The 21,961-nt window shown below is 47.6% G+C and overlaps 1 protein-coding gene across 13 annotated transcripts in view, besides 2 other annotated features; it reads left to right on the top strand.

The window, feature by feature from the left end:
* Positions 12,214 to 13,190: an enhancer, noted in NCBI's record as "H3K27ac hESC enhancer chr3:52188810-52189786 (GRCh37/hg19 assembly coordinates)". NCBI's record gives its function as "activates a minimal SCP1, AML or CMV promoter by ChIP-STARR-seq in naive H9 embryonic stem cells {active_cell/tissue: H9 hESC(naive)}" and the evidence as "EXISTENCE:reporter gene assay evidence [ECO:0000049][PMID:30033119]".
* Positions 13,191 to 14,168: an enhancer, noted in NCBI's record as "H3K27ac hESC enhancer chr3:52187832-52188809 (GRCh37/hg19 assembly coordinates)". NCBI's record gives its function as "activates a minimal SCP1, AML or CMV promoter by ChIP-STARR-seq in naive H9 embryonic stem cells {active_cell/tissue: H9 hESC(naive)}" and the evidence as "EXISTENCE:reporter gene assay evidence [ECO:0000049][PMID:30033119]".
* POC1A (POC1 centriolar protein A) overlaps positions 13,561 to 21,961 on the top strand; it is a 79,198-nt gene continuing 70,797 nt past the window's right edge. For 9 of the 13 annotated variants that reach the window (XR_007095660.1, XM_011533561.2, XM_011533560.2 and 6 more), the window contains exons 1-5: positions 13,561 to 13,629; positions 16,884 to 16,968; positions 17,997 to 18,168; positions 18,595 to 18,774; positions 20,889 to 20,996. Coding sequence is in view for 12 of the 13 variants with exons in the window: in XM_011533561.2 (XP_011531863.1) it covers positions 13,612 to 13,629; positions 16,884 to 16,968; positions 17,997 to 18,168; positions 18,595 to 18,774; positions 20,889 to 20,996 (563 nt within the window). In the remaining variant the exon portion in view is untranslated. Of the gene's footprint in view, positions 13,630 to 16,812; positions 16,969 to 17,996; positions 18,169 to 18,594; positions 18,775 to 20,888; positions 20,997 to 21,961 lie in introns of all 13 variants that reach the window. The other 4 variants (XM_047447908.1, XM_047447907.1, XM_017006104.2 and 1 more) reach the window with 1 other exon arrangement.

The following is a 21,961-nucleotide window of genomic DNA, read 5'->3' as shown; positions in this document are numbered from 1 at the left end:
AAAAAAAAAAAAAAAAATCTGCACAACTCATAACTGGGAGTATTATACCCAGAAGGCTTTGCTATGAGGTATCATTATCCTATCAGTAATTTTTTTCTTCTAATTTCACAGGAAGCAGGAAATTATTTACGGTTGGAGTGGATGCAAAGGTGACACATAATAGCTTAGAAGGCTAAGTCCCTTGTTTTACCAGCTGTTTAGGCATCTTTGTACCCATCCTTGATTTGGAGAGTCTGACCTTGACCAAATTCTATCCCTCAAAACTGGCCCTTACAATCTCACGTTATCTGCCTCTTCCATGACAGTCCCTGGGCCTAGAGGGAGGGTGCTTGTATAGTTGAAGCGGTGTCATTGTCTGGGGAAATACCCGAGGTTCGTTGAGAACAAAGACGTGGAGACACACACACAAGCGTGCACACAGAGTGGATTTAAGAGTGGACAGTTTAATAGGCAAAAGAAAGAAGAGAGAGCTTCCTTGTTCAGAGTAAGGGGGTGCCCAAGTGGGCTTCCGGGCTTGGGGCAAGACGCGGTTGATTTTACAGACAGGCTTGACAAGGCAGTGTTTGATTTACATAGGACCCCGGGAATTGGTTTGACCAGGTGTTCTATTTGCATAGCCTGAGAAGAGACTGGCCATCCCACCTTAATCTTTTATTATGCAAATGGGCCTTTACCTGGCCAGCGCCATGACACCTGCTGAGGTGGGTGGATCACCTGAGGTTAGGAGTTCAAGATCAGCTTGGCCAACATGGTGAAACTCCGTTTCTACTAAAGATACAAAAAATTAGCCGGGTGTAGTGGTGCACGCCTGTTAATCCCAGCTACTTGGGAGGCTGAGGCAGGAAAATCGCTTGAATCCGTGAGGCAGAGGTTGCAGTGGGCCGAGATTGCACCATTGCACTCCAGCTTGGGCAACAAGAGCAAAACTCCGCTCAAAAAAAAAAAAGAAAGTTTATTTTGCCAAGGTTAAGGACATGCCTGTGACACAGCCTCAGGAGGTCCTGATGACATGTGCCAAAGGTGGTTGGGGCACAGCTTGGTTTTATACGTTTTAGGGAGACATGAGACATCGATCAGTACTTGTAAGATATACATTGATTTGGTCCAGAAAGGTGGGACAACTCGAAGCAGGGAGGGGGCTTCCAGGTCCTAGGTAGATCAGAGACGAACGATTGCATTCCTTTGAGTTTCTGATTAGCTTTTCACTAAATACACAATTCATTAATATATATGAAAGAAGGGTAGAGGAAATAGTCACTTATGCCTTAGTGCACCTGGCCACTGCGCCCGGCCTCCTTTTCTTTTTAAAATCTTTCGGAGAAAGCATTTTAGAAGAAAATGAGACTCTGGGCCGGGCGCGGTGGCTCCTGCCTGTAATCCCAGGACTTTGGGAGGCTAAGGGGGCGGATCACCTGAGGTCAAGAATTTGAGACTAGCCTGGCCAACATGGTGAAACTCTGTCTCTACTAAAAATACAAAAATTAGCCTGTATATGTGGCACACACCTGTAATCCCAGTTACCTGGGAGGCTGAGGCAGAAGAATTGCTGGAACCCAGGAGGCAGAGGCTGCAATGAGCCGAGATCGTGCCACTGCACTCCAGCCTGGGTGACAAGAGCCAGACTCTGTCTTAAAAAAAAAAAGAAAAGAAAAAGAAAAGAAAAAAGAAGAAAAAGAAAATAAGGCTCTGGTCTCAGGTTTCATCTGATCTCTCATTGGTAGGATGGTTTATTCCTAGAGGGGTAGGTCCCACGTTATTAAGAAAGATCATTTTTAGCAGGCTGTGAAGGCTCATGTCCTACGAAGAGAAAATAGGGGGAGGAAGGGAGAAAAACAACAACAACCGAACAACAACAACAAAAAGAACAATCCTGGAAAACTGATATAGGCCATATTACCCTGAAGTCCATACATTGGTAGGCAGGTATGAAAGTGGCTTATGTATGTAAATAGGTTGCTGCTATTTTGTTCTGAAGTTTAAGTTGTCTAGCTTCAGTTCACAGGGCTTTAAGAAAGCACAGCTTAATTTTCAGTGATTTCAAATCAGAGAAAATAGGGGAAAAAAGGAAAAGAAAGAAGGAAAAAAAAAAAGGAAAGCATTTTGGAGACTTGTAGCCAGGACAAATTTAGAATTCAGTCCAAACTGTAGAAAATAATAAAAATTGAAAAACATTAGGCAAGACTAGAATCTAATAACAAGTGTACTATAGTTTATCTTGAAACATAATTTCTGTCTCTCTAGTCCCCATTTTCACAAAAGACAAATCATGGTAGGATTGATTTGTCTGCAAAAATAAGCTTTAGTCTTATGCTTGGCCTGATTATTTGTATAAAGTGCAGCAAGAATAACTATTTACCACATAGGATCTTTTTGTAATTGGCTTTTATGGAATTTTGTTTTATAAGGAATCTCAGATAAGACTTTTTTAAAGCCTCGAGCCCAGCCCTGAGTTTGTGCAGTCAAATATTAATACCTATGTGAGTTTGGGTAAATTTGTCTACTCTTGAGGTCCCAAGATAACTTGGGGCTCCTAAGCCTGTCAGAAAATGGCATTCTTTACTTACCACAGGTCAGGAACCCTGTACAGGTACTGTATAGACAAGGTGCCAGTTTTCCTTAGGGGCTTTATTGGCTGTATAAGTCAACTTTGATTCCTTAAAGGAGTGTGTTTCTGTCTGAAAGCATGCCATTCCAGTCAAAGCCTTGATAAAGTAACCAGTGTCTCCAACTGTGTCCTGTTACAAAAGAAAACAGATTCTTATTGCACTTACGCAAATAAATATATAGCGTAAGTTAAGAATACTCACAAATAGTTTCCAAATTTGGAAAAAATCAGGTAGAGAGAAATATGTTCCAAATTTTGTTTATAGCAGTACACTTTACTCAATTGTTAAAAGCTGCAAATAGCTCAAAACAGGGCCAGGTGGGGTGGCTCATGCCTGTAATCCCAGAACTTTGGGAGGCTGAGGCAGGCGGATCACTTGAAGCTAGGAGTTCGAGACCAGCCTGGGCAACATGGCAAAACCCCAGCTCTAATAAAAATACAAAAATTGGCCGGCATTGTGGCTTACGCCTGTAATCCCAGCACTTTGGGAGGCAGAGGCGGGCGGCTCACGAGGTCAGGAGATTGAGACCATTCTGGCTAACACAGTGAAACCCCATCTCTACTAAAAATACAAAAACAAAATTAGCCAGGCATGGTGGTGTGTGCCTGTAGTCCCAGCTACTGGGGAGGCTGAGGCGAGAGAATGGCATGAACCTGGGAGGCGGAGCTTGCAGTGAGCCGAGATCGCGCCACTGCACTCCAGCCTGGGCGACATAGCAAGACTCCGTCTCAAAACAAAAAACGAAAAAAACAAAAAAACAAAAATTAGCTGGGTGAGGTGGTGCACCCGTACTCCCAGCTACTTGGGAGGCTGAGGCATGAGAGTCGCTTGAACCTGCTAGGCGGAGGTTGCAGTGAGCCGAGATCGCACCACTGCACTCCAGCTTGGGTGACAGAGGAAGAGTGTCTCAAAAAAAAAAAAAAAAAAAAAAAAAAGAGAAAAAGAAAGTTTTCTTGGCTCCAAAAAACAAAAGATAAGCAATTTTTTTTTTTTTTGAGACGAAGTTTCACTCTTGTTGCCCAGGCTGGAGTGCAATGGCGCAATCTCGGCTCACCGCAACCTCCGCCTCCCAGGTTCAAGCGATTCTCCTACCTCAGCCTCCCTAGTAGCTGGGATTACATGCATGTGCCATCATGCCCGGCTAGTTTTGTATTTTTAGCAGAGATGGGGTTTCTCCGTGTTGGTCAGGCTGGTCTTGAACTCCCGACCTCAGGTGATCCGCCCACCTTGGCCTCCCAAAGTGCTGGGATTACAGGCATGAGCCACTGTACCCAGTCTTTTTTTTTTTTTTTGAGATGGAGTTTCACTCTGTCACCCAGGCTGAAGTGCAGTGGTGCGATCTTGGCTCACTGCAACATCTGCCTCCCGGATTCAAGTGATTCTTCTGCCTTAGCCTCCCAAGTAGCTGGGATTACAGGCATGTGCCACCACGCCCAGCTAATTTTTGTATTTTTAGTAGAGATGGGGTTTTGCCATGTTGGCCAGGCTGGTCTCAAACTCCTGACCTCAGGTGATCCGCCCGCCTGGGCCACCCAAAGTGCAGGGATTACAGGTGTGAGCCACCGTGCCCGGCCAGATAAGCAGTGTTTTAAGCAAAAATCATAAAAGGATTATTTCAGTCTTCTATTAGTTCAGTCCATGCAGTTAATCCCTGTTCTGTTTGATATTCATGAACATTTCAGCTCTCCATGGGAGTCTTGGAAGTTTTTCCTCTGTTCTACTGTCACAGTCTCCATAGTTATCAGAAACTTGCATTCAAGAGCACCTGTCAGAGTCCTATAGCTGATTATAAAAAACATCTTTTGAAAAGGATAAAAGTAAAATAACTATGGATGATAAAGTCTGAGAGCAGTCATAGTTAAAGACACAATTGACAAGGAGATTTGGTTACTTCTGTGGTATACAACAATTTTACATAATAACCATAATTACTTCTTCTTTTTTTTTTTTTTGAGATGGAGTTTCACTCTTGTCACCCAGGCTGGAGTGGAATGGTGCGATCTCAGCTCACTGCAACCTCTGCCTCCTGGGTTCAAGCAATTCTCCTGCCTCAGCTTCCCAAATAGCTGGGATTATAGGCGCCTGCCATGATGCCCAGCTAATTTTTGTATTTTTAGTAGAGATGGGGTTTCACCATGTTGGCCACGCTGTTCTTGAACTCCTGACCTCAGCTGATCCACCCACCTAGGCCTCCCATAGTGTTGGGATTACAGGCATGAGCCACCATGCCTGACCCATAATTACTTCTGATAACATATGCTAAGACATATCAGAATCACAGGAATTTCACACAATTCTGGAACACTTAACAACACATTTATATAAATATAATCCAAAGAAGGTTAAACACCATTTCATATTTGACAGTACTTCCTGTATGATTTTATTATTTATCTCAAACAAGTCTAATATATCTCTTCCGGACTTCAGGTGACTAATAAAAAAAAATGCAAACTGAAGTTAGAATGTGCTTTTGGGGAGTTTGTCAAATATAAAAAGCTTAAAACACTTGATACTGATGGCAGTGGCTATGCCATCAGGCTGGCTGCAGCATGGAGACGCGGCTTGGGCTGCACACACTGTGGAGCTAGTGGGAGCTCTGCGAGCCCCGCTTCTTCTGAGTTGGGGTGGGAGCTCCTCAGGTGCCACTGAAGCTGCCCAAACTGCAGCTGCAGACCCAGGGCTCCTGCTTTATGGAGCAGGCAGGAGCTCCACCCTCCTGGGCAGGGCTACAGCCACCCAAACTGCAGCTATGGATCCTAACCTCCCTGTGCTCTTGGGGGAGGGCTGGGAGCAGGCAGGACCTGCCTTCCTGGGTGCAGCTGTCCTCTAGGGTGCAGGACCTGGGTGTCTTTGCAGCCTGCACCCTCAGGGGCCCCAGGGAGGACCTCCCCCTGCCCACTGACCCCATCCCTGCAGGCTCAGGGGTGTCTGCTCCCACTGCCTAGCCTCCCTCCACTTCTGGCGCCTGCTCTGATCTCAGAGCAGGGTTGGGGCTAAGCCCCGGAGATTTGAATGGCAGTGGGAGGCAGACAGAGTCCTGGATGGAAGGGGGAAGGTCCCTAGTAAGGTCCCACCTTCAGGGCAGAGAAGGCCTGAAGGCTGGGGTCCAGGCTGCCAGTCCCGTAGGGTGGGGAGTAGGGACTCATGGTACCTCTCCTGGGCCCACCCATGGCTGCCCATGGACCAACTGGCACACACTTCCTTTCCTCTGAGGTCCATAAAAGCCCTGGGCTCAGTCAGAGTAGGGCAGAGATGACAGGATGGGATGATCAGCTACAGAGAGGAGTAATCTCTCTGCTGAGAGCTTCACAGACGAACTGCCAGCAGAGAGGAACTACCCTCTCTGCTGAGAGCTTCAGAGACCTGCAGAGACATCTGAATGACTTGCCTGCAGAGAGGAGCCACCCTCTCTAGGTCCTCCTCTCTGCTGAGAGCTGAGCACTCAACAGGATGACCTGCCTACAGAGAGGAGCTACCCACTCCTCTAAGCTATTCTAACATTAAATAAAACTCTTCTTTGGCTTGGTGGCTCATGCCTGTAATCCTAACACTTTGGGAGGCTGAGGTGGTTGGATCACCTGAGGTCAGGAGTTTGAGACCAGCCTGGCCAACATGATGAAACACTGTCTCTACTAAAACACAAAAATTAGCTGGGCGTGGTGGTGGGTGCCTGTAATCCCAGCTACTTGGGAGGCTGAGGCAGGAGAATCACTTGAACCCAGGAGGCAGGGGTTGCAGTGAGCTGAGATTGCACCATTGCACTCCACCCTGGGTAACAAGAGCAAAACTCCATCTCAAAAACAACAACAACAACAACAACAAAAACTCTTCTTCACCCTTCATTTGTCTGCATACCTGATTCTTCCTGGTTGCAGGACAAGAATTTGGGCAAAGCTGCTGTGGCCACAGAGGCTTCCAGGCAGAAAAATTGACATCCCAGAGATCCAGTAATTATATCACAAAATAGGATCATGGGTCATTGTAAAATAAGTCATTCTGGCTGGGTGTGGTGGCTCACACCTGTAATCCTAGCACTTTGGGAGGCTGAGGCGGGCAGATCACCTGAGGTCAGGAGTTCGAGACCAGCCTGGCCAAATGGTGAAACCCATTTCTCTTCTAAAAATACAAAAATTAGCCAGGCATGGTGGCACATGCCTGTAATTCCAACTACTTGGGAGGCTGAGGCACGAGAATTGCTTGAACCCGGGGGTGGAAGCTGCAGTGAGCTGAGATCATACTATTGCACTCCAGTGAGGGTGACAGAATGAGACTCTGTCTCAAAAAAGAAAAAAGAAAAAAGTCTGTATTTTTTCAGATAAAGTATTTGATTTAAGTGCCTTTTTTCCTTTAAGCCAATTAATTAGAGCTCTTTTATATATTTTTAGCAGTGAAACATCATCTACATGACACATAAATGCCTAGATGTATTAGACATGTAGACAGAAATAGATCTTATAGATTCATAAGTCCTCCTTTTTTCCCTTCTATTTCAGACTTCCAATTTCTTGATAACCCATTTTATTACCTGAGGCAGTTAGTTGTCAGATAGACAGTCTTAAATTTGCATATTAAAGGCAACTCTTGGCCTAGCTCGGTGGCTCACGCCTATAATCCCAGCACTTTGGGAGGCCGAGGCGGGTGGATCATGAGGTCAGGAGATCGAGAACATCCTGGCCAACATGGTGAAACCCCATCTCTACTAAAGATACAAAAATTAGCTGGGTGTGGTGGCACGTGCCTGTAATCCCAGCTATTCAGGAGGCTGAGGCATGAGAATCGCTTGAACCTAGGAGGCGGAGGTTGCAGTGAGCTGAGATCGCACCACTGCATTACAGCCCGGTGACAGAGCAAGACTCCGTCTGAAAAAAATAAAAATAAAAATAAAGGAAACTCTTAGGTGAAAAATTGGATAGCTAAATTTACATCTCAAGGTACAGAGAGGAAAAGTCTAGTGGTACTAAAGAGATTAAAGATGGATGCCAGCCAGGCGTGGTGGCTCATGCCTGTAATCCCAGCACTGTGGGAGGCCAAGGCAGGCGGATCACTTGAGGTCAAGAGTTTGAGACCAACATGGCAAAACCCCATCTCTACTAAAAATACAAAAATTTGCTGGGTGTGGTGGTACGCACCTGTAATCACAGCTGAGGCAGGAGAATCACTTGAGCCTGGGAAGCAGAGTTTACAGTGAGCCTAGATCATGCCACTGTACTCCAGGCTGTGGGTGACAGAGCAAGACTCTGTCTCAAAAAAAAAAAAAAAAAGATGCCAAATCAAACATAAAATTATAGAAATCTATCATAAGATTGTATAAGGAAACCACTTTTATTTTGACAGGTAGTTCTAAATTTAGTCTTTATCTTTTAACTGGCTCTCTGAGCTCTGGGAAGAGCCCAATCTGAATACTGGGTCTCCGAAAAGAGTGTTACTATAAGGCTAGACCACATGATGATTTACAGTGCACCTTTTTTTTAAACAAGACGTTTCTCTAAGTGCCTAAACTACACACTTTCCCTTACTTTAAACACCCAAGAGTAACCTCTCTTGTAATAACTATTTGAAAGAAAGAAAGAGAGAGAGAGAGAAAGAAAGAGAGAGAAAGAAAGAAAGAAAAAGAAAGGAAGAAAGAAAGAAAAAGAAATGAAGAAAGAAAGAAGGAAAGGAAGGAAGGAAAAGAAATCAGGTAACACAATACAAAAGCAAGCAGTTTAAGATCTGAGATGAACTTGTCCATATACACTCTTGGGGTTCCCTAAGGAAAAACAGAGCTTTCTCCCCAAAAGGGAGTCTTACACCTTCTCTGTTTTCCTTAATGAATCTCAGGCTGTTAGAAACTATTTTAGGTTCCTCATGCAGCAGAGGGTGGCAAGAGAAAGGAGAGACAGCAGAAATAAATGAAAGCAGAATTCAGGCTGGGAGTGGTGGCTCACGCCTGTAATCCCAGCACTTTGGGAGGCTGAAGTGGGTGGATTACCTGATGTCAGGAGGTCGAGACCAGCCTGGCCAATATGGTGAAACCCTATCTCTACTAAAAATACAAAAATTAGCTGGGCGTGGTGGCGTATGCCTGTAATCCCAGCTATTTGGGAGTCTGAGGCAGGAGAATTGCTTGAGCCCAGGAGATGGAGGCTGCAGTGAGCTAAGATAGTGCCACTGCACTCCAGCCTGGCCCACAGAGTGAGACTCTGTCTCAAAAAAAAAAAAAAAAAAAAAAGGCCGGGCGCGGTGGCTCATGCCTGTAATCCCAGCACTTCGGGAGGCCGAGGCGGGCAGATCACGAGGTCAGGAGATCGAGACCATCCTGGCTAACATGGTGAAACCCTGTCTCTACTAAAAATACAAAAGATTAGCTGGGCGTGGTGGCAGGCGCCTGTAGTCCCAGCTACTCAGGAGGCTGAGGCAGGAGCATGGCGTGAAACTGGGAGGCAGAGGTTGCAGTGAGCCAACATTGCGCCACTGCACTGCAGCCTGGGCGACAGAGCGAGACTCCGTCTCAAAAAAAAAAAAAAAAAAAAAAGACTGGGCACGATGGCTCATTCCTGTAATCCCACTTTGGGAGGCCGAGGTGGGCAGATCACCTGAGGTCAGGAGTTTGAGACCAGCCTGGCCAACATGGTGAAATGTGGTCTCTACTAAAAATACAAAAATTGGCCAGGCATGGTGGCTCATGCCTGTAATTCCAGCACTTTGGGAGGCCAAGGCAGGAGGATCACCTGAGGTCGGGAGTTTGACACCAGCCTGACCAACATGGAGAAACCCCGTCCGTACTAAAAATACAAAAAAATTAGCCGAGTGTGGTGGCACATGCCTGTAATCCCAGCTACTTGGGAGGCTGAGGTAGGAGAATCGCTTGAAGCCGGGAGGTGGAGGTTGCGATGAGCTGAGATTGCACCATTGCATTCCAGCCTGGGCAACAAGAACGAAACTCCATCTCAAAAAACAAAAAACAAACAAACAAGAAAACAAAAATTAGCCAGGCATGGTGGTGCACGCCTGTAATCCCAGCTACTCAGGAGGCTGAGGCAGGAGAATTGCTTGAACCTGGGAAGTGGAGGTTACAGTGAGCCAAGATTGAGCCACTACACTCCAGCTGCCTGGGTGACAGAGCAAGACTCCTTTTCAAAAAAAAAAAAAAAAGAAAGAAATAAAGAAAAAAGAAAACAGAATTCAGGGCTGGGCGCAGTGGCTCATGCCTGTAATCCTAGCACTTGGGGAGGCTGAGGCAGGTGGATCACCTGAGGTCAGGAGTTCAAGACCAGCCTGGCCAACATGGCAAAAACTCGTCTCTACTAAAAATACAAAAATTAGCTGGACATGGTGGTGCACACCTGTAATCTCAGCTACTTGGGAGGCTGAGGAAGGAGAATCGCTTGAACCCAGGAGGTGGAGGCTGCAGTGAGCCGAGATCGCTCCATTGCACTCCAGCCTGTGCAACAGGGGTGAGACTCCATCTCACACACACACAAAAATAATAAAAATAAAAAATAATTCAGTTGATAGAGAAGAAATAATTTTTTTTCTGAAAGAAACCAAAGTACTAGGAGAGGAAAAAACCATGAAAGCCTTTTAAATACACACACACACACACCCCCACCATCTTGGATGTTAGCTTTTAAGTAAGCTGACTTTAAGCCATTAAGCGCCTTTAAAAAAAACCTTTTAAATATCATTACCATATTTTAGCTAGAACAAATAACTGATATTTCAAAAGTAACACAAATATCAAACCAAAAAGGGCTTGATTTAGGAACCAAACCCAGGCTGTCCTGGTGAAAAAAAGTGGGCAGAACCTTAGCTATGGAACTGCAGTTTGGGGCAACAGCATTCCTCTTTCAGTTTGGCTTGGTTAGCAAAAAGGTGGCCTTGTTATGTAAATAAAGCCCCTTAGGTAATCAAAATAAAAAATCTCTCCTTATTTTTTTCTTTTTGCTGGCTGTTTTTCTCTCTCTTTTTTTTTTTTGAGACGGAATCTCGCTGCGTCGCCCAGGCTGGAGTGCGATCTCGGCTCACTGCAACCTCTGCCTCCCGGGTTCTGAGTGATTCTCCTGCCTCAGCCTCCTGAGTAGCTGGGATTACAGATGCCCACCACCATGCCCAGCTAATTTTGTATTTTTAGTAGAGATGGGGTTTCACCATGTTGGCCAGGCTGGTCTCGAACTTCTGACCTCAGGTGATCCACCCAACTCGGCCTCCCAAAGTGTTGGAATTACAGGCGTGAGCCACCTTGCCCAGGCTTTTTTCTTTTTCTGTTGTGGGAATTTAGCCAATTCAGAGGCCTTGTTCCCCAAACTTTGGAACTTTCCTTCAGATTTGATCAAGTCAGATATAATTCATCAACCTCAATGGGAAAAAGAATGAAACAACAAAAACAGAAACAAACAACAACAAAAAACAGTTAAGCAAAAAAAAAAAAAGTGATCGCACAATTTGTTTATTTATTTTATTTATTTTATTTTTTTTTGAGACGGAGTCTCGCCCTGTCGCCCAGGCTGGAGTGCAGGGGCTTGATCTAGGCTCACTGCAAGCTCCGCCTCCCGGGTTCATGCCATTCTCCTGCCTCAGCCTCCCGAGTAGCTGGGACTACAGGCGCCAGCCACCACGCCCTGTAATTTTTTGTATTTTTAGTAGAGACGGGGTTTCACCGTGTTAGCCAGGATGGTCTGCGATGTCCTGACCTCGTGATCCACCCGCCTTGGCTTCCCAAAGTGCTGGGATTACAGGCGTGAGCCACCATGCCGGGCTTGATCGTACAATTTATATGATTACTGAGCACTCTAATGGTAAGGAAAATTAAGACCAGCTGGTTGTTAACCTTAACTTCAGCCAAGAAAATCCCCAATTCGGCTACTTACCTAAGAACAGGTCTTAGGCTAAAGACTGCTCTCTACCATCCCAGAAGTAGGGAAAACTCAAACTTTCCTTCTCTGTTGGAAGCGAGCTCAAACTCCAGAAAGGAGTTACCTGCCTTCCATCGTCAGGGAAGCAGGAAAACCTGCCTTCCTTGTTGGAAACAAGTAAAACTCCAGAAAAAGGAGTTGTACAGTAAAATAAACTTTAGATGTTAACCAAATTTGGGAAGATCAGGAATTTTGTGGAGGGGGGCTCCCAGGCCTTAGCAAATTGTCCTGTAGATTTGAGCCATAAAGATAGCTCAAGCTGGTACCAAGCACCGATAGGAGATCTGTCAAAGGTCAGGGGCACCTCCACTCAGAATCCTTTCGTGGTTGCCAAACTGTCAACCCGAAATACCTGAGACAGGTCTCAGTCAACTTAGAAAATTTATTTTGCTAAGGTTAAGGACACACCCATGACACAGCCTCAGGAGGTCCTGACAACATGTGCCCAAGTGGCCTGGGCACAGCATGGTTTTATACATTTTAGGGAGACAAAATACATCAATCAATACATGTAAGATTTACATTGGTTTGATCTGGAAGGACAAGACAACTCGAAGTGGGAAACTTCCAGGTCATTGGTAGATTTAAACATATTCTGATTGGCAATTGGTTGAAATAATTATTATCAGTAGAAAGGGATATCTCGGTTAAGATAAGGGGTTATGGAGACCAAGGTTTTACCATGCAGATGAAGCCTCCAGGTAGCAGGTTTCAGAGAAAATAGATCGTAAATGTTTCTTATCAGACTTAAGGTTTTTGTTGATGTTAATGCTGGAGGGTATAATGAGGCATGTCCAACCCCCACTTCCCATCATGGCCTGAACCACTCTTTCAGGTTAAATTTGAGTGCCCTGGCCAAGCAGGGAGTCTATTCAGATGGTTGCTGGTGGCCTTCAAATTTTATTTTATATATATATATATTTTTTGAGACGGAGTCTCCCTCTGTTGCCCAGGCTGGAGTGCAGCGGCAACATCTAGGCTCACTGCAATCTCTGCCTCCGGAGTTCGAACAATTCTCCTCCCTCAGCCTCCCGAGTAGCTGGGTTTACAGGCGCGTGCCACCACGCCCGGCTAATTTTTGTATTTTTAGTAGACATGGGGTTTCACCATGTTGGCCAGGCTGGTCTCATACTCCTGACCTCAGGTGATCCACCCACCTCGGCCTCCCAAAGTGGCAAAGTGCTGAGATTACAGGCGTGAGCCACTGAGCCCGGCCTCTCCTTCTTTTAAAGACTGGGTTTCTAACAGCTTCTGAGGCCTTAAGGATCCTGACAGGGCCGGGCTGCACCACACTCCCTCGTGTTACAAATGGGGAAACCGGGGCACAGAGCAGAGGCGTTTTTCCTGAGATCACACAGCCAATCAGGGCGAGAACTGAGAATCGAACCTTGATCTCTCCACTCCATGATTGTGATTCCGAGTAACTCATGTTATTTTAAATCGACACTTGTCTTAAGAACGTTCGGACGGCGAACCACTGAGAGTTCCCGAGGGGCGAATACTCAGCTCTCAATAGGTTCCTGCGGGGAAAATCTGGCTGCGCCGGCGCGCGCGGGTGCTTTAACGCAATCTGGTTACAGCAACCCACGTGTCCTCCGCTTCCGGGATCCTTAAGGCCGTCGCTTCGGGTGGTAAAACCCGGCCCGCCCTCTTGTTGCCCAGGCTGGAATGCAATGGTGCAATCTCATGTTGGGAAGTGTAGCTCCACCTTCCTCCAGACATAGGGGCGTGGGCGGCTTGGAACTGCATTTCCCAGGAGGCTGCGCTCGCCGTTAGAGTAGCCGGACGACGGGCTGGTGGGGTGAACCCTTCATCCTGGGTCTTTTAATTTCTCAGGCGGAACGAGTGGCGGCGGACAGAGGCTTTTGGCTGCGCTGTCTGTGGGTTGTCTGGGCTTGGGGAACTGGGCACGGAGACCGTGGCGCCGGCCGCCGGTCATACAGCTCTGCTTCCAGTCGTCGGGCAAAAAGCTGAGGCGCTTCTCCTTTAATTGCGGTGGGCGGGGCGTGCCGACGCGGCCCGCGTTGCTATTGGTGGCCGTTGGGGGCGCGGAAACTGAACGGGCCGCAACGGCCACCGCAGCTGCCTTCGGCGCCGCCAGCCCCGCCATGGCTGCGCCCTGCGCGGTAAGCCCAGCCGAGAGCAACTCCCCAGGCCTCAGTCTCCCCGCTGGGACACTGGGCGCCTAATGGCCAGAGCGATGGCTGCGAGGGGCGGGCGGGGCGCCAGGTTCCAGGGTGGTCCTCTTCAGGTCCAGTTTACTGTCTGCGCAGGGGGCGCTGGGTCGGGCACTTTCTGAGCGCCTCCTGCGTGCCAGGCCCTGCGCTGGGTTTCTGGAGCGAACAAACAGGCCTCTGCCTCCATAGTTTGCATCCTAGCGAGGGACACACGACCAAGTCCCGACTCATGTGTGACCTGGGGCCGGTATCGGGCCTCTCTAGCCATTCTCCACGTCCTTAGCAGTGGGTGGCTGCGTGGGGTCTTGTTGAGGGTACACCCTGCTCCAGCAGGTAGGTACAGCAGGACGCTGGGATGCCCGGGCCTGCAGTGTGAGCGGGGCGGAGCCGCCCTCTCTGAGTTCACATTCCTCCAGAAGTCCTCATTTCGAGAGATTCCTTTGAACGGGCAAGGCCCTCTGGCTGATTGGAGAGTCAGGGAGGCTGGGTGGTAGCCTGTGATGCCCTGAGGCACTTGAGGACATGGACGGAGATTCCAGGCTAGGATACAGACCTTTTGACTCCTAATCTGGTACTCTACCTCCCTTCCTGTCCCCTCATGTATAAACCACTGTTGAGGGAGATGAGGCCCACATGCAGGGAACTACAGAGGGGAGGCGGTGTTGAGAGATACCATGGGACCTACTGGTCAGGGGTGGACCTGAACTTGCCTCTGCCCACTGAGCCTAGGGGCGGACACTCTCTTACGCATGTTCTTTCAAGAAGCTTAGGTGAGAGCAGAAGGCTCTGTTGGGGACCCTCCCCCAGCTGCTCCTCCCTCTGTTGTTGAAAGGAGACTCTGACAGGTGCGTTAGGGGTGGAGCTGGGCACAAGGCCATAGGGCCTTTGTTCTGGTTACTGCTCTGTAGGGTGGCAGTGGCTTTGCTGTGCCCCAAGGACATCCTTTCCCAGGAGGAGCCTTTGGGCTTCCTGGAGCACCCAAAATGCTTCTTTGAGGTTTCTGATACTTAGAGTAGGGGGAGATGTTTGGATGGCTGAATTATAACCCTTCAAGTGTTAAGACACAAGCTGCTATTGGATGGAGAGAGTCTCCGGAGTATTCTCTCTGGTGTTTTAACTTTATTAAGTTATTCATACACCACAGAATTCACCTTTTAAAGTGTACATTTCAGTAGTTTTTAGTACATTCACAGTGTTGTGCAACTGTAATCACTAATTCCAGAATATTTTCATCATCCCAAAAAGAAACTCCATACTCAATAACAGTCATACCATTTCTTCTCTTTCCCCATTTTCTCCCAACCCTTGGCAAACTAATATATTAATACTTTCTGTCTCTATAGATTTGACTATTCTGAACTTTTCATATGAATGGAATCAGACAAAATGTGGCCTTTGGTGTTTGACTTCTTTCACTTAGCATGTTTTCAAGGTTCATCCATGTTGCAGCAAGCATCAGCACTTCAGTCGGTTTTATGGCTGAATAATATTCTGTTGTATGAATATGCTACATTTGGTTTATTCAGTCATGTGTTGATGGATCATTTGGGTTCAATCACTTGTTGGCTATTAAGGAAAATGCTGCTCTGAACATTTGTGTACAAGTTTTTGTGTAAACCATGTTTTCAACTCTTTGGGGTATTTACCTAGAATTGCTGGGTCATTTGCTAACCACGTTTAACTACTTTATTTTTTATTTTATTTATTTATATTTATTTTATTTATTTATTTTTTGATTAGGAGTCTCACTCTGTCGTCCAGGCTGGAGTGCACTGGTGCAATCTCGGCTCACTACAACCTCCTCCTCCTGGGTTCAAGCGATTCTCCTGCCTTAGCCTCCCAAATAGCTGGGACTATAGGCGCCCACCACCACGCCTAGCTAATTTTTGTATTTTTAGTAGAGAGGGGTTTTCACCATGTTGGCCAGGCTGATCTTGAACTCTTGACCTCAGGTAATCTGCCCGCCTTGGCCTCCTAAAGTGCTGGGATTACAGGCGTGAGCCACTGTGCCCGGCTAACTACTTTTTTTTAGTCAGGGTCTTGCTCTGTTGCCCAGGCTGGAGTGCAGTGATGTGATCACAGCTCACTGCAACCTTGAACTCCTGTGCTCAAGCAGTCCTCCCACCTCACCCTCCTGAGTAGCTGAGAATACAGGCATGAGCCACTACGTGTGGCTAATTCTTTAATTTTTTTGTAGGGTCAGGGTCTTGCTGTGTTGCCCAGGTTGGTCTTGAACCCCTGGCTTAAAGTGATCCTCCTGCCTCAGCCTCCCAAAATGTGGGGATTACAGGTGTGAGCCACTTCACCTGACCTATGTTTAACTTTTTGAGGAACTGCCAAATTACTTTCTATAGTATCTGTGTTTTTTGTTTGTTCGTTTGTTTGTTTGTTTTTAAAGATTTTTTTTTTTTTCTGGGTGTCTTGCATTTTCATGTGAATCTTGGGAGCAGCTTGTCAGTTTCTGCAAAAAAGACACCTGGGATTTTGATAGGAATTATGTGGAATCGGTAGATCAATCTGAGGAGTATCGTAGTATTGTATCTTAACAATAGTAAGTCTTCCTGTTCATGAATGTGGAATGTCTTTCCATTTTTTAAGTCTTCTTTCATTTCTCTTAGTGATGTTTTGTCGTCTTTACTGTACAAGTCCTGCACTTCTTTTGTTAAATTATTCCTTTTTTTTTTTTTTTTTTTGAGACGGAGTCTCGCTCTGTCACCCAGGCTGGAGTGCAGTGGCACAATCTCTGCTCACTGCAAGCTCCGCCTCCTGGGTTCACACCATTCTCCTGCGTCAGCCTCCTGAGTAACTGGGATTATAGGCGCCTGCCACCATGCCCGGCTAATTTAAAATATTGCTATTTTTTTTATGTATCATAAATAGTTTTATTTTTTGGATTATTCATTGCTAGTGTACAGAAAGACAATTGATTTTTGTGTCTTGATTTTGTATCTTGCAACTTTGCTGAACTCATTTGTTTTTTGTTTTTGTTGAAGCATTTCCACAGTTGATGTATTAATTCAAATAGTAAAAACTATTCCTAGTAAAAACTAATCCTAAGTGGATTCCTTAGGATTTTCTTTATATAAGATCATGCCTTGAGCATTTTTAACCCTACTCCCCCGGCTGTTGTAGGAAGAGTGCTGGCCCTGGGGAAGCCCCTTCCTCACCCAGGCTTCACACATTTGACCCTGGCTCTCTCTCAGGAGGACCCCTCGCTGGAAAGGCATTTTAAGGGCCACCGAGATGCAGTTACCTGTGTGGACTTCAGTATCAACACAAAGCAGCTGGGTAAGAAGAGGCACCCTGTCTAGGTGCTAGGTTATGAGCTGAACAGGCCAAGTTTTTACCTCGGAGGGGTGGTGGGTGGGAAGCAGAGCACAAGGACTGCACAGCTTTGTCTAGACCTGCTTCTAGTCTTGCTTCTGCTTGCCAGCTCTTTGGGCACTGGGCTTCATGAGCTTCATTTTACATGCAGAGCCTGAGGGTCAGAGAGGTTAGGGGCCTTGCTAAGGCCACAGAGCTTTTGAGGGTGGGACTGGGATCTGGGTCTTTTCTGCACACCCTAGCCACCTTTTGGGTCTGTCTTTTGGTGTGGGCCCTAAACAGTGACTCCTTTTCCTTGAAGCTTTACTGATTCTGTTGCCCACAGTAATAAGGCACACCTTGTTGAAGAGCCTTGTCAGTGAGAAGGCTGTTGAGCAGAGATGGGCACCCCCCTCGACCCCACTGCTCTTATGCTGCAGCTGACTGTCCCCCTTCCTTGGTTGCATGAGGTTTCGTACACAGCTTTTATGACTGCGCTTTCTGGTTCCTGCAGAGGAGGCTTGCCCCTTCATCCTGTCATCAAGACCCTCTGATGTGTAAAGGTTAAGAGGGAACTGAAGTGATTTTTGATCAGTTTTGGGGACCTCCTTTAGGCTTCATACTGAGTTGGGCCCTCTCAATGGGAGGGGCTGGCTTCCCAGCTGGGGAGGACTTGCTCTCTGGTGCCCTCAGGATGTGTCTGGGGGGAGACCCTGGGCCCCATGGGAATGAGTTTTCCCAGAGCTCTGGATTGCAGTCCAAGGCTAGCATGGGAAGGGCCTCGGTCTTATTCCCATGTGGGTGTGCTCCTTGGAGAACTCTGGGCCACAGGCTCTCCACCTCCAGACCATACCTCGAGATGTGCTCTGCTCCATGGGAGACTTCTCACGGTCTGTTTGTGGATGCCAGGGAAGATGGAGCTGGGCCAGTTGCTCCCCCTGCCTCTCCAATGTCTTGGTGGAGGCTTGAAGCCTGTTAGAGCTGTAGGTCATAGCATCACCCACTGTCCTCAGCCAGTGGCTCCATGGACTCATGCCTCATGGTCTGGCACATGAAGCCGCAGTCACGCGCCTACCGCTTCACTGGCCACAAGGATGCCGTCACCTGTGTGAACTTCTCTCCTTCGGGACACCTGCTTGCTTCCGGCTCCCGAGACAAGACTGTCCGCATCTGGGTACCCAATGTGTGAGTCGTACACTTTGAGGAGGCTTGTTGGAGTCTGGGGCCCTGGTGCCAGAGCCATCCCCACCCAGGTCCCCTAGCTTGGCTCTGGACTGGTCACAGTGGGACTTCTACTCTGCTTTGGAAGAGGTGCCATCAGAGGCTGGGGCTGCAGTTGGAGCCCTCCCCTCAGGGTTGGAAGAGGAGTTCTGGGCTTACCCAATCTATCCCTAAAGAAATGCCACCTGATGCTGTGTTCATGTGGGTGGGGCCTAGAGATGGTGCTCTGTTCATATAGGAGAGGCTCTGGCTTTCCCTTGTGGAGACTGGGGTACTCGGGCTTGACTGACTTTGGGAGGGGTGCTTGAGGAGTAGGAGAGCTTTGATGTGCTTGTGGGCTCTCATGTCACTGTTATGGGTTTCCTTACTCTTGGATGCCTGTCCTTGTAGCAAAGGTGAGTCCACTGTGTTTCGTGCACACACAGCCACAGTGAGGAGTGTCCACTTCTGCAGTGATGGCCAGTCCTTCGTGACAGCCTCTGACGACAAGACAGTCAAAGTGTGGGCAACTCATCGCCAGAAATTCCTGTTCTCCCTGAGCCAGCATATCAACTGGGTCCGCTGTGCCAAGTGAGCATTGTTCTGTCTGGAGACCCTTGGAGGAACCCTGGGGGTTGGGGGCTGGCCCAGGGGCTGCTAGGTACCAACTTATGACCTCGGGCAAGTTACTTAGGCATTGTTTAAGCTTCCTCAGCCTCGGTTTCCTTATCTGTAAAATGGAACAATAATAGCTCCTGCATTGTAAGTTGTCGAGAAGCTTCATGGAGCTGATGCATGACATGTAAGTTAGTCCATAGTCAGCCATGATGACCCTCTGACATCTGTGTTGGCAAAGCACAAACTGGGTCAACAGGGGCCATTTATTATCAAAAACAATTAGGTACTTTCAGTACTACCATTACACATTTTCTTTTTGTTCCTTAAGACAGTTCTGCAAGCTAGGTGCATTTCCATTTTGCAGATGAGGAAATGGGGGCTCAGAACAGTAGTATCTTGTCCCAGAGCACACGGTGGGTCTGTGGCAGAGCTGGAGTTTGAACCCAACTCTCTCTGACAGTAAGGCTTGCCTACTTTCCTCTGGGATGTTCTCAGGGGATGATTTTGCTCCAGAGCTCCCAGATGGGGGCGCAGGCTTCGGAGATGGGGGGCTTAGCCTGGAGGCTAGCCTTCCTGCTGGCCAGGGAGCCAGTGCTGTGCAGACAGCGGGCCAGGTAACCCAAAGGACCTTTCAAGGTCCAAGAATTGCAGACAGATAGTCCTACTTCTAGCTTATTTCATTCCTTTCAACAGAGCTTCCCCATGGGTCAAATATCTTTGCTTCAGAGGAAGGGGTTGGGGTGCCAGGTGACATTAGGAAACCACATGAGTCAGAAGTTGGGGACTATTGAGCTGTGTTCTTCTGGGGACCCCATACAAGTTACTGTTCTCCAGGGCACCCCCATTCCTTTGTCCTGGGAGACCCCTGATGGCTCTTAGAGGCTTTATGACTAGGGTCCTGAGATCAGGAGGGGCCAGGCCAGCAAACTGGGGTGTCAAGTCCATACTGGGCCTTTGGTGGCAGTCCCCAGGACCTCATGCCTTTTGTTGGCAGATTGTGTCTTGCTGACCCGCACTTGAGTCAAATGTAGACTCGGAGGACCTGGTCCCAGAGTAATGACACTGATGGTGAGCTTTTGGCCACCTTTATGCAAATGTTGCCGGCAGGCAGTCGGCTGCATGTTGCCATGTGCTGTGCGTCAGGGGCAGTGCTGGGGCTTTATGTGCATGAGGCTGCTCTGTGCTCACTCGTGAGGCAGGCACCTTTTTTTTTTTCTTTTCTTTTTGTTTATTTATGTTTGGTTTTCCTCTAAGTCAGGAAGAATTTCTCTTTTTCCCTTTTGGTCAGAGTTTGCTGTTGGGATGGGAGAGGGGCTATTTGCTCATGAAGCTACGTAAGAAAACGAAAACAAGAGCAACAGGAAAGATCAATAAGTTTCACAGATTCAGGAAGAAAAAAATAAAGGAAACATTTTTATAACATTTAAAATTAAGTCATAGGCCGAGCTTGAAGGTGCATGTCTGTAATCCTAGCACTTTGGGTGGATGAGGTGGGAGGATCCTTTGACTCCAGGAGTTAGAGGACCAGCCTGGGCAACATAGTGAGACTCCCATCTCTACAATAAAATAAAATAAAATAAAATTAGCTGGGTGTGGTGGTGCACGCCTGTAGTCCCAGCTGCTCAGGAGGCTTAGGTGGGAGGATCTCTTGAGCCCAGGAGGTAGAGGCTGCAGTGAGCTGAGATCACACCACTGCACTCCAGCCTGGGTGACAGAGCAATACCCTGTCTAAAAAACAAAACAAAAACAAAAACAAAATTTAGTCACAGTTTCCTGAAAAACTCTTCAGAAGGAAAAAAGAAAAATGATGTGCTAAAAGTTAACTATTTTCAGAAACAAAGTATAATTTAAGATATGACCAAATAAACAGAAGTAACATTGCCTCCTAGGATGCAATGCATTTGTTCCTGAAAAGACAAATTAGGGTATTCAAATTAAAAAAAAAAAAATCACAGCAGGGCATGTGACCCCGGGTGGTTCCTGCAGGCAGATAGTAGGCACTCGGGGAAGAGTGGCTGTGGAAGAAGGTGTGTGGTGCCCATGTCGTCTGTTAGTCTGTGATGTGACTTGTGCCCCACCCGGTTCAGGTTCTCCCCCGACGGGCGGCTCATCGTGTCTGCCAGTGATGACAAGACTGTTAAGCTGTGGGACAAGAGCAGCCGGGAATGTGTCCACTCGTATTGTGAGCATGGCGGGTGAGTCCCCAGATGCTGTCCTCCACCTGTAGGCGCTCAAGCACAGAGCACAGACCTGGGCATGAGGAGGCCCAGTGGCCTTCAGTGGCTGGAGCCGTGGGACCAGCAGCCTTATCACTGCTGCCCCTTGTCTGGTGCTTTTTGCGAGGTCTGGCAACCTAGCATTGTATCTTTTGCTGTGTGGATGGAAGCTTTGGCCCCATCCCACAAATAGCAGGAGTGCTTAACCTCAAGCCATGCAATTCTTTGGAGCTGTGTAATTATTTGTGCTCCTCTTTTTCTCCTTCACTTTCTGGTTGTCAGGATTACAACATGTCTGTCTGGCAGCAGTTGACACTCAGTCGCCCAAACTACATTTTAAAGCCTCTTGGTATGTTATCCATGATGATGGCTTTACAAAATTCTTGTTGGGTTCTTGTAGCAGATGGTGGCTGTTCATATTGTGCCACATCATCAGGAGAGAGAGGTGCCTACATTTGAGTAGAGACCCCAGCTTCTGCCCTTCTTTGTTGGGCTGGGAGCCACAAGGGCTTCTCCTTGAGAGGTGGACATGGTACCAGCCTGGGTATCACATATGGGTGTGGTGAGGGTCCTTGGCCTGTCTCCTAGAAAGGGGTGGGCCAATGGCCCTGTAGTCCTGCTGGACCTTCCCACCTGTGCCTCAGCTGGCAGGATCTGCCCTGCAGCCACCCCTGGGAAGGGTACCAGCTCCAACTTTGAAAATCCCAGGGGAGCCTGGCTAACTTTTGGGTTTGAAGATAGCTCTCTCAACTTGTATTGAAAATTGGCGGTGGGATGTGCTCCCTGGTCAGTCCACCTTAGTTTGTTGCTGGCCACTGTTCTCACCTTTTACTTCTTCTTGCTCTCCCTTGGCCACCTGGTAAACAAGTGTGACAGAAAGGAGGTGTCTGGGTCAAGGGAACAGCGTGGGCAGGACACAGGGATGGGGAAAGCACCAAATGTTT

Source organism: Homo sapiens, chromosome 3 (genome assembly GCF_000001405.40).
Source record: "Homo sapiens chromosome 3, GRCh38.p14 Primary Assembly".
Lineage (NCBI taxonomy): Eukaryota > Metazoa > Chordata > Mammalia > Primates > Hominidae > Homo > Homo sapiens.
Note: the sequence above shows the minus strand (reverse complement) of the source record. Positions and strands in the feature narration are given on the sequence as shown.